This window comes from Homo sapiens, chromosome 6, assembly GCF_000001405.40.
Source record: "Homo sapiens chromosome 6, GRCh38.p14 Primary Assembly".
NCBI lineage: Eukaryota > Metazoa > Chordata > Mammalia > Primates > Hominidae > Homo > Homo sapiens.
The window spans coordinates 26,231,764-26,244,576 of record NC_000006.12 but is presented as its reverse complement, the minus strand read 5'-3'; the positions used below and the strand labels follow the sequence as shown (position 1 = coordinate 26,244,576).

Sequence of the window (12,813 nt, the reverse complement as noted above, 5' to 3'; positions counted from 1 at the left end):
AAACGTCGTGAACAGTTCTGTGTTTCTATTATATGTTTTTTTTTTTTTTTTTTTTTTGGCCAATCCTTTGCCTTGCCACTGGAAACAGCTTGTAGAGACGGTGTCAAAGTTAAATTTTTCTGTAAACCACACAGGATCTACAGACTCTTATATAAGAAAAACTTTATATACTTAATTCCACAGAATTAAATATTTACTTTCTCAATCTATGAGTTTTTAACTTACAATGGTGTATGTTTGATTTGTATTATTTCACTTTCATAGGGGTAAATGAAACGACACAATAATCATTGTTTAACAACAACAAACACATGAAGCAGAACACAACAAAACTTTTTAAAAATAGATTTTAATGCAAGAGTCAATCTAGAATTTAAAAACCCTTTCTAGGATACACATTTTCTCATTGTTATTTATTTTTTCTGTCAAAGCCAAGCTTTTTACCTTTCAGGGTTTCTCCACTCTATTCTGTCAAACAACATTCCAGCAATTGCCATAATTTTCTATGGCCCTGTAAAGTATGACATAGTGTTTAAACAGTGAATTGTAGCCAAAATGACTGGCTTAAATATCACTGCTCTTGTGTGAAGTCACACATAGATTGGGAGCCACGCCAAGGATGTTCTGGGCCAGAGGACATGCAAGTGGAAAATCTCAAGGTGAGAAAAGCTTTATGTGTTTCAGGAAACAAAGGGCAACTAGTGTGGCCCCTTCCTCTGTTTACAAAAGGCATCACACTCCATTACCCTTATCACTTCTCTGACTCTGACTCTCCTCGCTTCTACTTATAAGGATCCTTGTGATTACAATGGCACCACTCAGGTAATCCAGAATCATCCAATCTCAAAAGCCTTAATTTAATAACATTGGAAAGTTACTTTTACCATTTAAGGAAACATATTCGCAGCTTTTGGGATTAAGATGCGGGCATCTGGGGGGGAGGCATTATTGCTACCAGAAGTATAGTAAGGCATAAAACCTTTTAATAGTGTTGTAAAACGACTCCGAATTCCTAAAATACACAAAAGTCCATTAGAAAATAGTTAAAACCCTTTTTGTTTGAAACTCTAAATTCTTAGTTGCCAGCTGACTGGTAATCGCACATTAACTGTGATGTTTAAAGGGATATTGAATAGATATTAGCATTCTTGGGAGGGCTGTAGAACCACGCCTGATGACACTCCCAGGGACAAACTCCAAAGCTGTGCTGCAGAACTAGTCAGGTGCTGGTGTGTCACACCTGTTATTTCTGAATCAGAACTTGACTCACCTGTAACCTATGGCTGCTGCTACTACCAAAAGTTGGCCCATCTGACATCTGTCACAGCAGAAACAGAGGCTTTAGGCAGTCTCTTCTCTCCTGGGTCCCATTTTTGAAGATAAGTCTTTTAAACCTGTGACTCATTGGTGAAGCCTAGGTTACAGATCTGCATTCCAGCTGCAAATGAGGCTGAGTATTGAAGTTCTGAAACCCAGGGAAGTGAGGCAATGTCCTAACCTGAGAATTTGACAAATATATACATTAAATAAATGGACCAGTATCTTTTGAACCTTTTCTCCTTCAAGTTCCAAAGTAAAACCAAAAGTACATCTATTTGAAACTAAAATTTTATGACACAATATTTTTACTTACTAGATGGGATACTTTGATAATTTCTAGTTGTTATATTGGATTCTATTTACGTTTTATATGCTGGTTGGGACCCACTAAATTATTTTCATTACCCGTGAATGGATCTCAATCTGCATTTTAAAAAGTCTGTAATATAAATTGTTGGCAGCCATGAATATTGACATTTGTGTAAAGGTGAATAGAGAAGATGGTTCTGTGGGAGTAGAGATATTGCTTAATTAAAGGGGAATGATTTTTATAACGGTATATTGGTGATGGCCCAGATAGCTTAATTTCATTGATTCCTTCAGTCATTGCACAAACATTTATGAACTAAATACTACATCCTGAGGATACTAAATTAAAGACATTGTTCAAGACCTGAAAATATCTTGGGAAGAGGGCAAGAATTACTCCCAACTATTTAAGTGTGCAGTAGCTCCTAAGTCGTATAGGGAATTCTGAAGTAGGGCTAGGGACATGTGTAGAGTGTGCTTCGTGAATTGTAAGGAAACCCCAGACACCGATTTTGCCCATAGGAATCAGGTAAAGGCTTCTTGAAGAGGAAACCCCAAGTTGAAGAATATTTGTGGAACAGTGTATGTAATGAATTACCATTGACAAAAAAAGAACAGATGAGAAGCCACTTCTTCGGTATGGTGAAAAAATGAAAACGTTAGGAGTCAGGATCGCGGGTGATAACCGGGTAGGTTGACAAAGCACAAGGAGAAACACTTTGGGTTATAAATTACCAGTACTTGAGAAATAAAGCAGTAAAATTATCAATGACCTGAAATCACAGTAAGTGCCCCAACAAAGAATTCACTGGGTAAGACAAAAACTTGGGCTTTTTTTTTTCTTTTTGAGACGGAGCCTTGTTCTGTGCCCCAGGCCTGGAGTGCAGTGGCGCGACCTCGGCTCACTGCAACCTCAGTCTCCCGGGTTCAAGTGATTCTCCTGCCTCAGCCTCCCGAGTAGCTGGGACTACAGGCGCGTGTCACCACGTCTACGTCTAATTTTTGTATTTTTAGTAGAGACGAGGTTTTGCAGTGCTAGCCAGGCTGGTCTCGAACTCGTTGAGCTCAAGTGATCCACCCACCTCGGCCTCCCAAGCTGCTGGAATTACAGATGGGATTGCAGACATGAGCCACCGAGCCCGGCCAAACTTTACTTTTTTTTTTTTTTTTTTGAGGCATGGTCTCTGTCGCCCAGGCAGGAGTGGAGTGGCACCATCTCAGCTCACTGAAATCTCCGCCTCCCGTGCTCAAGCGATTCTCCTGCCTCAGCCCTTGCAGATTAGCTGCGACAGCAGGCGTCCGCCACAACGCCGGGCTAACTTTCCTATTTAACTTTTTTAGTTGAGACGGAGTTTCACCATTTTGGTTGCCCAGGCTAGTCTCGAACTCCTGAGCTCTAGTAATCCGCCCGCCGTGGTCTCCCAAGGTGCTGTGATTCAGGCCTGAGGCACCGCGCCCGGACACAAGTAGTGGATTAAGTTTACCAGTAATTGATCTGTCCACAGCCGCCCTAAGATTACTCACGTTCTATGCCTAATAAATAACACTAAGGCCGGGCACGGTGGCTCACGCCTGCAATCCCTGCACTTTGGGAGGCCAAGAAGGGCGGATCACCTGAGGTCGGGAGTTCGAGACCAGCCAGACCAACACAGAAAAGCCCCTTCTGTACTAAAAATAAAAAATTAGCCAAGCGTGGTGGCGCATGCCTGTAACCCCAGTTACTCGGGAGGTTGAGTCAGGAGAACCGCTTAAACCCGGGAGGGGGTGGTTGCGGTGAGCCGAGATTGCGTCATTGCACTACAGCCTGGACAAGAGCAACTCCATCTCAAAAACTAAACATGTAATGCTAGTGTAGTTAAGTCCCAGCCACCTAACATAGGAGTAAATTTCAGAAACGTGGGAATAAAACACATCACATACGTCATAAAAGGCTGCTGGTATTCCCAAACCATTTCCACCATCTTTTCCTGTGAATGTTTGCGATCGAAATACCTGAACAAGTTTCTAATGTTTCGCCTTCCCTTTCTCCTTAGCACATCCGCCATCTTAGGAAGATCGCTAAAAACGGCTCGGTTTAACTCAGTTAGAATCCCAAATTTACAAAACGAAACCCAAGTCGTCATCAGTTACAGCCCTTCGTGTGACGAAGGAGGTGGCCCTGAAAAGGGCCTTTTATGGGTGAGCTGTTAAATAAAAAGCCGGGGTGAGGCTCAGCCACCAAAGCCGTACAGAGTGCGTCCCTGGCGCTTGAGCGCGTAGACAACATCCATTGCAGTGACTGTCTTACGCTTGGCGTGCTCCGTGTAGGTTACGGCGTCCCGTATCACATTCTCCAGGAACACCTTAAGAACACCGCGGGTCTCCTCATAAATGAGGCCCGAAATGCGTTTCACGCCGCCGCGTCGGGCCAAGCGACGGATGGCGGGCTTCGTGATGCCCTGTATGTTGTCACGCAGCACTTTGCGATGGCGCTTGGCGCCTCCCTTTCCTAAACCTTTACCACCTTTGCCTCTACCAGACATGATCGAAGACAAACAACAACTCTTAACTTTTGCAACTTTGCTACACACTGAAGCCCCTTATATATCAATTATGCGGACCTTTTTGGAGACTGAATTGGAGGGGCGGGAACGAAACCTCTGTCTCCGCCTTTTCCGTAACTTACTGGGCGTCCCCTACACTATTGCCTTGGGAAGGAAAGGGGGCGGTGAGGGTAGGGGAAATGCAAGTTGATTTGACTCCTTCCTGTTTCCTTGTTTGGGTCTTGAGTGTAGGTTTCTGTGTCTTCTAGTCCAGTGCCTGTGGGCTCTCGAACTGATAATGTCTGTCTCCTAAAATCCTTATTATTTGCAAAAAGGAGGCAGTAACGCTACACTTGTCTACCGAATGGATAGACAAGAGAATAAAATTATTATTTCTTTTGAAACAGTTTTGCTCTGCCCCAGACTGGAGTGCAGTGGCGTGATCTCGGCTCACTGCAACCTCCGCCTCTCGGGTTCGAGCGATTCTTCTGCCTCAGCCCCTGCAGTAGCTGCAACTACAGGCGCGCGTCACCACGCCCGGCTAATTTTTGTATTTTTAGTAGAGATGGGGTTTCGCCATGTTGACTAGGCTGGTCTCGAACTCCTGACCTCAGGTGATCCACCCGCCTCGGCCTCCCAAAGTTCTGGGATTACAGGCGCCTAGCTTTAATTTTTAAATGTGAAGATTCTTTGAAAATGTATTTTTACTAATTTTTTTTTTTTGATACGGGGTCTCACTCTGTTGCCCAGGCTGGAGTGCAGTGGCGCTATCTCGGCTCACTGCAACCTCCGCCTTCTGGGTTCAAGCGATTCTCATGCCTCAGCCTCACGAGTAGCTGTGATTTCAGGCACGCGTCGCCACACCTGGGTAATTTTTGTATTTTCTTAGTAAAGACGGGGTTTCGCCATGTTGGCCAGGGTGGTCTCGAACTCCTGACTTCAGGTGATCCACCCACCTTGGCCTCACAAAGTGCTGGGATTACTGGCGTGAGCCACCACGCCCGGCCATTTTTATTAATTCTTAAAATGTAGCAATACTTCTTAAATTTGGCCAATCATGAGACTTAGCGTTTGGCAGAGACATATACATTCACATCGTTTTTGGCATTCCTAATAAAGAAAGACCTCTAGTAAGGGAAACCAATATTAATTGAAGTTTCATTCTTAGTTTTTCAATGTATAATGCAATATCTGAGGTGTAAAGATAAGGAATCCCAGGCTTGAAGACATTATCCTCTAATAAATGGCATTGTATTGTTGGCTCGATTCTGGAGTCTCACTACCTTGCTACCTACCACTGCTTTCATGCCACTAAAGCATACATGGTAAATCATGGTGAATAAAGGTTTGTAAATTAACAAAAATAATACTAATAAATTCTGTGAAATACTGTCCTAATAAAAGATTCCGGAAGAAGTGTTCTACACACAGATCATAGGGTATGTGTAGTAGAAAAATTCAACATTAACTCTTACAGTCTACTGCTTCACATTCATTGCCTCCTATATACTGCAAGGGTAACTTAAAAATCCCGTCTCTGCTGGTGCCTAAAAGCAGTGAGAAGATTATTCATTTTGTGGAGTTAAGAGTCTACTTAAATTTTGGCTTAGGTTCAGTTACCTGTAGGAATAGACACAAGGATCTCAAGTGCTCTCCTTTTTGAGGTAGGCACCAAACAAGCATCATTCATTCATTCAACAATTTAATGTCCACTACATGCCAAGAATAGTGTACAAATACCAGGTTTACAAAGATAATCACATTTATTCTCTTAAAGAACTCAAAAGTTTAGTAAAGGGAAAAGTACACTCAGGGTTAGGGGGCAGATATCAGACCAGCATACTTCTACTTACTGTCAGGTATTTAAGGGCGGAGCAGCCATATCCCAGCTATACTGGCATCACTCTGAAGCTTGTTAGACATACAGAATTTCGGGCCCAACCCCAAATCAATGGAATTGATATTACATTTTTAATGAGATCTCTAAGTGGGTGGTAGGTATGCTCTTCCAAGTTTGAGAATAATTGTTTTAAAGCTCTGCTGTCCTATATTAGCCACTAGCAACATGTGCTCATTTTTATTTAAATTAATTTAAATTAAAAATTAATTTGCACACTTACTCTAGCCACATTACGGTACTCAGTAGCCACATATGGTTAGTGGCTACCTATTGGACAGTGTTAATACAGAATATTTTTATCATCGCAGAAAGTTTTATTGGGCTGTATCTGTGATAAGGGGGTTTCTTCTGAAGAGCTTCTAATCCAGTCTAGAAGGGAGGAGGGAGTTTGGTGGATGCCTGAGACATGTAAAGAGAAAACTGTAAGTTTGAGTATAGTAGTGGCCTTCTTAGGAAATAAAATTAACACAATACTGTTGTACTTGAAGAGGAATTTCAAGGAGCCAGTGTCCTCAGGTAAGACTACCTCATAGACGGTTACAATCGATGTGATTTCTCATGGACTTTTTGAACACGTTTGATTCTAACACAAAGCTTTATTTTCTATAATAGTCTATATATGTTTTCACCCCTTTTAATATTTATTCTATATAGTTTCTTTTTTTTTTTTTGGAAATCTTTAAAATCTGAATTGTGTGATGCTTAAGCACAGTGTCACTGGATTGATCTATTGAATACTACCTACAACTCTCATAGTCATTTACTATGGTGGTGGTGGGGATGGGGGAGTTAACACAAAATGAAGAGAACACTGGGCCTTAAGTTAGATAGCTATCACTTATCTAACTAGTTTTTCCTAGCTACTTTTTGCATCTATAAAATAAATGGTTCCAACCTCAGTGTAATGGGAAATCTACTGTTTTAGATTATATTCAGATTTAGGATTCCAAAGCAACACAGAACTCTTTTTGAGGGCTACCAAAGTAATAGGTGAAACTTTGCAGGACTTCAAGTTTACAGTCCATGGGGTGATCCAGCTTTCAGGAACCTTGTCCTTGCTACAATTACAGAGAAGATAAGTACCAGGTCCCAACTTATGTAGCCTAGCCCCTTTCCTCTTTGAACATCTGGCGAACTTTGTTGGTGAAACTGAGTCTCAGTTATTGCCCTCCAGAAAGAGCAGAGATTAGTTAGCCCAATGCCTTTTTACTTACTGAGATCCTAAGTAGCTATGGGAACCAGTCAGTGTTGCACAAGAATGAAATGGTGGCATCTGTTAATTGACTATATCTAACACGGTGAACAATTCCAACAATTATTCAACAACTATTAAGACTACAATAATGATCAAAATAATAAACAGTAAACAATCTGAATTTTAATTGTACCTTTACGTCTAGGCAATATAAAGCTATGGTCCCAAAAAAAAATACTTAGAGTATGCTTGTGACTATCACTGTTGAAAATGATATCCATAATGATGCACCGCCCCTGCCTCCAGAAACCTATAAAATGCTTCCCTACTGGAATTGTGGGGTCCTACTAATCCAATTCTATAAGTTTAGCTTTTTTATAAACCACATTTGTATTTCAGTGGTGTATAACACGGTCTTAAGTCCCAGAGACTTGTTTCTAATACATGCAAGAGAGTAAATAATTACTTAAGACAAGCTTAGTAATTTTTTTTTTTGAGATGGAATTTCACTCTTGTTGCCCAGGCTGGAGTGCAATGGCACTATCTTGGCTCACTGCAACCTCCGCCTTCCGGGTTCAAGCGATTCTCCTACCTCAGCCTCCCAAGTAGCTGGGATTACAGGCGTGTGCCACCATGCCCGCCTAATTTTTGTATTTTTAGTATAGACAGGGTTTCACCATGTTGGTCAGGCTGGTCTTGAACTCCTGACTCAGGTGGTCTGCCCAGCATGGCCTCACAAAGTGCTGGGATTACAGGCGTGAGCCACTGCGCCTGGCCAAGACAAGCTAAGTAATTTTTATGAAATTAGTTGAATGAGGAGAGATGACATCTTTAAAGTTGATTATTTTATCTAGGATTTATATGAAAAAATCCTCTAATCACTATTGAGTGTAGGCCAGAATAACTTGATTTTTTGAAATGAGTATTTTTGTTAGAAGAAACATAACATCAAACTACTTCTCTTGTTTCTTCAACATAGGAGTTCATTTCAGCATCTGATTACTTGATGGAGAATATCAATTTTGTGCTTAATTATTTAATAATAACCTAATTCCATCAGCTGTATTGCAAACTAACAGATAAAGAATACTGAAGTTACTCATGTTTGCTTTGAAATGTTTGTTCAGCTCCTTAGGTGGACATATTCAACCAATTAATTTAGGGTGTGACAGCTTAGTTCATATTTTGTGTGTAAAAAGCCAAGTAGAATGATGAAAATTTACAGTGATTTAAATCAGATATTTTTCTTTCTAACCCTTGATGCCCACACTTGCAATGTTGAAAATTTGTATTTTATTTTTTTAAAGTGACTTTTACCAGTTATTCAAACAGGTTGTACAGAGAAAGAGGAAGGGAAATTTGTATTATAAATATGATTTTAAAATATAAAAAATGTACAAAATTCTATGATGAATATTAGCAAAAAAATAGTGTATTTCATTAAATTATTTATAAAGTGATGGGACACAAACATGTACACAAGCTCTCAATGCTCACAGTTGCCAAAATGATGTTGGCCTGCCATTCTATTATTTGTTGGTTCAGTTTTCTTTTTTGGGGATGTGGTAGTTGATCTTTAATGCCCATTCTAGATCGGAAAAATCCATGATCCTAACTTTTAAGAGAAGGTTGGTAACTCTACTTAGGACTTTTTTTTCTGTAAGAGGAATAATGTAGCCTCACCCTTATCTTTCTGGAAATGTTTAAACCACTGAAATATGGAGATCAAATCCAGCTTACACACTGGTAACTCAAATACTATTTTTTTTTTTAAACTATCTTTTCTAAACTAATCACCCCTCTTGTACATAGAACTTTCTACCTCAGTGCCAATTCCTAGAGGTTGATGCAAACAGCTCGCCAGAGAGCCTGTGCTATTGTTCCTGCGAAAAAACCCAATTTCCCTGCACATTTGGATAAAAATGAGTTTATCTATATAAAGTTGAGACGGTAAGAATTCACAGAACAATGCCCTGGAAGAGAGATTTGCAAATGAAAGAGGGAGAAATAGTATTTTTAAGGAAAACATGAAAGTTGTCTCGATTTGACCGAAGTTTGAAAGAGAGTTGGGGGAATAAGAAAAGTTTCAAGATGCCGGTTTTAAAACTATGCATAGAAACAAAGGCAGGAATGAAGCCCGAACTCTCTCGGATCAGTTTCCCCCAAGTCTCTAATTATTTCATGCCCAGATTTCTTATATTTTTACTCTTTTTTAAGGGGCAACAAACACAGCAGCGCGGTAGATACGAGGAGTCCTTTTCCAGCAGCGCCGCGCATGGAGCAAGGAACCAATCATCACTCAGCGTCTCTCTATATAAACCCTCAGCCTCCCTCGTAGAGGACATGCTGTTCTGACAGTTTGAGATTACTTATTGTCTTTTCTGGGAAGACAAAAACATGTCGGAGACTGCTCCACTTGCTCCTACCATTCCTGCACCCGCAGAAAAAACACCTGTGAAGAAAAAGGCGAAGAAGGCAGGCGCAACTGCTGGGAAACGCAAAGCATCCGGACCCCCAGTATCTGAGCTTATCACCAAGGCAGTGGCAGCTTCTAAGGAGCGCAGCGGCGTTTCTCTGGCCGCGCTTAAGAAAGCGCTTGCGGCTGCTGGCTACGATGTAGAAAAAAACAACAGCCGTATCAAGCTTGGCCTCAAGAGCTTGGTGAGCAAAGGTACTCTGGTGCAGACCAAAGGTACCGGTGCTTCTGGCTCCTTCAAACTCAACAAGAAAGCGGCTTCCGGGGAAGGCAAACCCAAGGCCAAAAAGGCTGGCGCAGCCAAGCCTAGGAAGCCTGCTGGGGCAGCCAAGAAGCCCAAGAAGGTGGCTGGCGCCGCTACCCCGAAGAAAAGCATCAAAAAGACTCCTAAGAAGGTAAAGAAGCCAGCAACCGCTGCTGGGACCAAGAAAGTGGCCAAGAGTGCGAAAAAGGTGAAAACACCTCAGCCAAAAAAAGCTGCCAAGAGTCCAGCTAAGGCCAAAGCCCCTAAGCCCAAGGCGGCCAAGCCTAAGTCGGGGAAGCCGAAGGTTACAAAGGCAAAGAAGGCAGCTCCGAAGAAAAAGTGAAACTGGCGGGACGTTCCCCTTTGAAAATTTTAAACGGCTCTTTTCAGAGCCACCCACAGGTCTCAGTCAAAAGAGCTGAAGCTTTTTGGAGGGGGGAGTGGGGTGGAGAGGGGTGCGGGTGCTGCGGTGTTGTGCGGCCACGGTCTATCCTAGTCGTGCTGGTTGGGGGTCAGTTATTAACAGCTCCCAGCAGCCTGGGCGCAAGGATCCTTCCGTCTCAGTCTCAGCCACAGTCACCGGATAGCTAAGGCTACTTGAGCCACCAGGTCCTACTTTTTCTTCAAATTCCCGCGGTGGTGTGTGATTGGCCGGCCGATTTCTGTTAAAGCGCGGCGCTTAAAAGTGGCCCTGAAAAAATTTTATTTCTGACACAGGGATGTGGTGTAAATGCTTTAGTTTACTTTAGCGTTGAGGTGACTTCCTGAGCACATCCCGTCCTGGTTGTGAGCAGTACGTGGCATGCCCAAGGTGCTTCCGGCCCACGATCTTGTGCAGCTGGTCGTTGAGAATGGCCAACTGCTGGTGGTGCCCGGTGTCTGTCTTTTCGCAGGCCTTTGATAAGCCTTAGCTTTGGGATATCGGCCCTCAGGTACTGTATTTGTAAATAGTGTGGGGGCTGCACTGCGTGACGAGGTGGCTCTCCTGTAATCCCAGCATTTTGGGAGGCCGAGGCGGGGGCATCACGAGGTCAGGAGTTCGAGGCCAGCCTGAAGAACATGGTGAAGCCCCATCTCTGCTAAAAAAAAATACAAAAATTAGTCAGGCGTGGTGCCGCGCGCCTGTAATTCCAGCTACTTGGGGGCTGAGGTAGAAAATCACTTGAACCCGGGAGGCGGAAGTTGTAAGCCGAGATCGCGCCACTTGCACTCCGGCCTGGGCGATAGAACGAGACTCCGTCTCAAAATAAAAAGTGTGCCCATTGTCTTTTTCTGTCAGTGGCCAGCGTCTCCAGGACTTATTTTCCCAGGGGCTCTCTTGCTTGTTCATTTATTTCTGCCTACTCTTAACCTCCTAGCACTGCCGCCAGGTAACACTAGCATGCTGGTCCAACCCGCTCGGAGTAGCTGTATTTGCGGAGGACGCGGTGTATTAGCCCTACTGGCAACTGTAGGCCCGCGTGGCAAAGCAGGTCTTGCTTTTGGCGCGAGTGTGGTCTTGCTTCCCACGTCCAGGTAATGTTAGAAAAAAATGCAATTCTTGTATTAAGCCAATCGGAGGGATAGTTCATCATAGCCTCTGGCTCAGTTTTGTAAAACTTGCTTTTTCTGTTGGTTTGCAGAGCCTGCTGAATTAACCAATCAGAACGTATTCTTAGATTTTTATTTGCGTGGTTTTTCCGAGAGAAAATTTTTCACCAATCAGGTTGCGATATTAACAGTTGTGTATGCTGGGACGTAGTCGAAAAGCCTGTTTTTTTTTCCACCTCCCCCTCAGATGGAATTCTCCAAATGGAATTCTCTTTTTGGAGACTACTCACCTTGTCATTCTGCGTCAATCTGCACAAGTATTGCTACCACCCTGATGCTGAGAGATAGTAAAAAGTATGAAAGGAACCTCTGTCAGCTTATAATCTGCTTCTTTTCCCAAATTGCTTTCTCACAGATTGAGCTGAACCAGGGAGCTAGAGTTAGCTATCCAATACATATTTGGTGATTAGATAAGAAATAGAGAGGGAAAAATAAATGAAAAAACTTGGAGAAGGGAGGAAGAAGCCTGAAATTGGGGTTACCAGGACAAATAAATGGGCTATAGGAAGTTGGGCTGACTTGGATGTACTACTGTTTACATTGTATTTGGGAGGCTGAGGTTATTTTTTGTTTGTTTTGTTTTTGATTTTAGAAAAGCCCACTTAACAGTACGGAGAAATCTCGACAAAATCTGATTTCTACAGATGGTTATGGGACTCTAGATGGGAAAAAATTACATTTTCACAAATCCTAAATGCAATTTGCTTATTTCCTTTGTGAGTACAGGCAGCTAATCACTGGATTTCACATCAATGATAATCATAGATATTTTCATATCACTTTGTACTTATTACAGGTGTCTTGAAATAGTTTACACTAATTGTGAACCTTTCAAGCCAACATTATACTTGCTGCTAGATCTTATTATTTGATGTGTAACTAAAGCACATATACAGACTTTAAGAAAAAAAAATTTAGTGTCACTACCTTTCTTACCCTGTATAAGTATTTTTTAAAAACATGGTTTTGAGAAGGCATCTATAGATTTCCAGAATCTCCAGAATACATAGCACAAAACAAGTCATGAACTCTTGAACAAGTTTGCAGTGGGACCAAATACTATAAATCCCTCATGATTATAATACCTCTTAATCTTACTTCTTTGTTTACATTCTGCTTATTAGTTAATATTTTATTATATTTTACATTATTATTTGCCTCCCTCCCCACAAAGAAAAGGATGTAGCCTGTGACATCTTTCTAGTTATAAGCAGGAGTTTAATTTTTTGGGAACCACGGCTACATCACACAATTTCT

At 42.0% G+C, this 12,813-nt stretch overlaps 2 protein-coding genes and 1 pseudogene across 2 annotated transcripts, besides 6 other annotated features; 1 reads left to right on the top strand and 2 right to left on the bottom strand.

The window, feature by feature from the left end:
• Window positions 1-3,783: 3,783 nt before the first annotated feature.
• Window positions 3,784-4,184, bottom strand: H4C6 (H4 clustered histone 6). Its single transcript, NM_003540.4, has one exon. The coding sequence runs from the start codon at window positions 4,149-4,151 to the stop codon at window positions 3,840-3,842; it is 312 nt and encodes a 103-aa protein (NP_003531.1). The 5' UTR covers window positions 4,152-4,184; the 3' UTR covers window positions 3,784-3,839.
• Window positions 3,948-3,997: an enhancer, noted in NCBI's record as "active region_24219". NCBI's record gives its function as "activates an Ori minimal core promoter by ATAC-STARR-seq in GM12878 lymphoblastoid cells {active_cell/tissue: GM12878}" and the evidence as "EXISTENCE:reporter gene assay evidence [ECO:0000049][PMID:35858748]".
• Window positions 4,458-4,557: an enhancer, noted in NCBI's record as "active region_24218". NCBI's record gives its function as "activates an Ori minimal core promoter by ATAC-STARR-seq in GM12878 lymphoblastoid cells {active_cell/tissue: GM12878}" and the evidence as "EXISTENCE:reporter gene assay evidence [ECO:0000049][PMID:35858748]".
• Window positions 9,077-10,064: an enhancer, noted in NCBI's record as "H3K27ac hESC enhancer chr6:26234741-26235728 (GRCh37/hg19 assembly coordinates)". NCBI's record gives its function as "activates a minimal SCP1, AML or CMV promoter by ChIP-STARR-seq in naive H9 embryonic stem cells {active_cell/tissue: H9 hESC(naive)}" and the evidence as "EXISTENCE:reporter gene assay evidence [ECO:0000049][PMID:30033119]".
• Window positions 9,077-10,387: a biological region, named in NCBI's record as "H3K27ac hESC enhancer GRCh37_chr6:26234741-26235728".
• On the top strand, window positions 9,590-10,365 carry H1-3 (H1.3 linker histone, cluster member). The gene has a single exon (NM_005320.3). The coding sequence runs from the start codon at window positions 9,644-9,646 to the stop codon at window positions 10,307-10,309; it is 666 nt and encodes a 221-aa protein (NP_005311.1). The 5' UTR covers window positions 9,590-9,643; the 3' UTR covers window positions 10,310-10,365.
• Window positions 9,978-10,387: an enhancer, noted in NCBI's record as "active region_24217". NCBI's record gives its function as "activates an Ori minimal core promoter by ATAC-STARR-seq in GM12878 lymphoblastoid cells {active_cell/tissue: GM12878}" and the evidence as "EXISTENCE:reporter gene assay evidence [ECO:0000049][PMID:35858748]".
• Window positions 11,218-11,267: an enhancer, noted in NCBI's record as "active region_24216". NCBI's record gives its function as "activates an Ori minimal core promoter by ATAC-STARR-seq in GM12878 lymphoblastoid cells {active_cell/tissue: GM12878}" and the evidence as "EXISTENCE:reporter gene assay evidence [ECO:0000049][PMID:35858748]".
• On the bottom strand, window positions 11,322-11,455 carry H2AC9P (H2A clustered histone 9, pseudogene; annotated as a pseudogene).

Excerpts from the sequence above, each read along its gene's own strand:
- H4C6 (NM_003540.4), bottom strand. The coding sequence starts at position 4,151 with ATGTCTGGTAGAGGCAAAGGTGGTAAAGGTTTAGGAAAGGGAGGCGCC.
- H1-3 (NM_005320.3), top strand. The coding sequence starts at position 9,644 with ATGTCGGAGACTGCTCCACTTGCTCCTACCATTCCTGCACCCGCAGAA.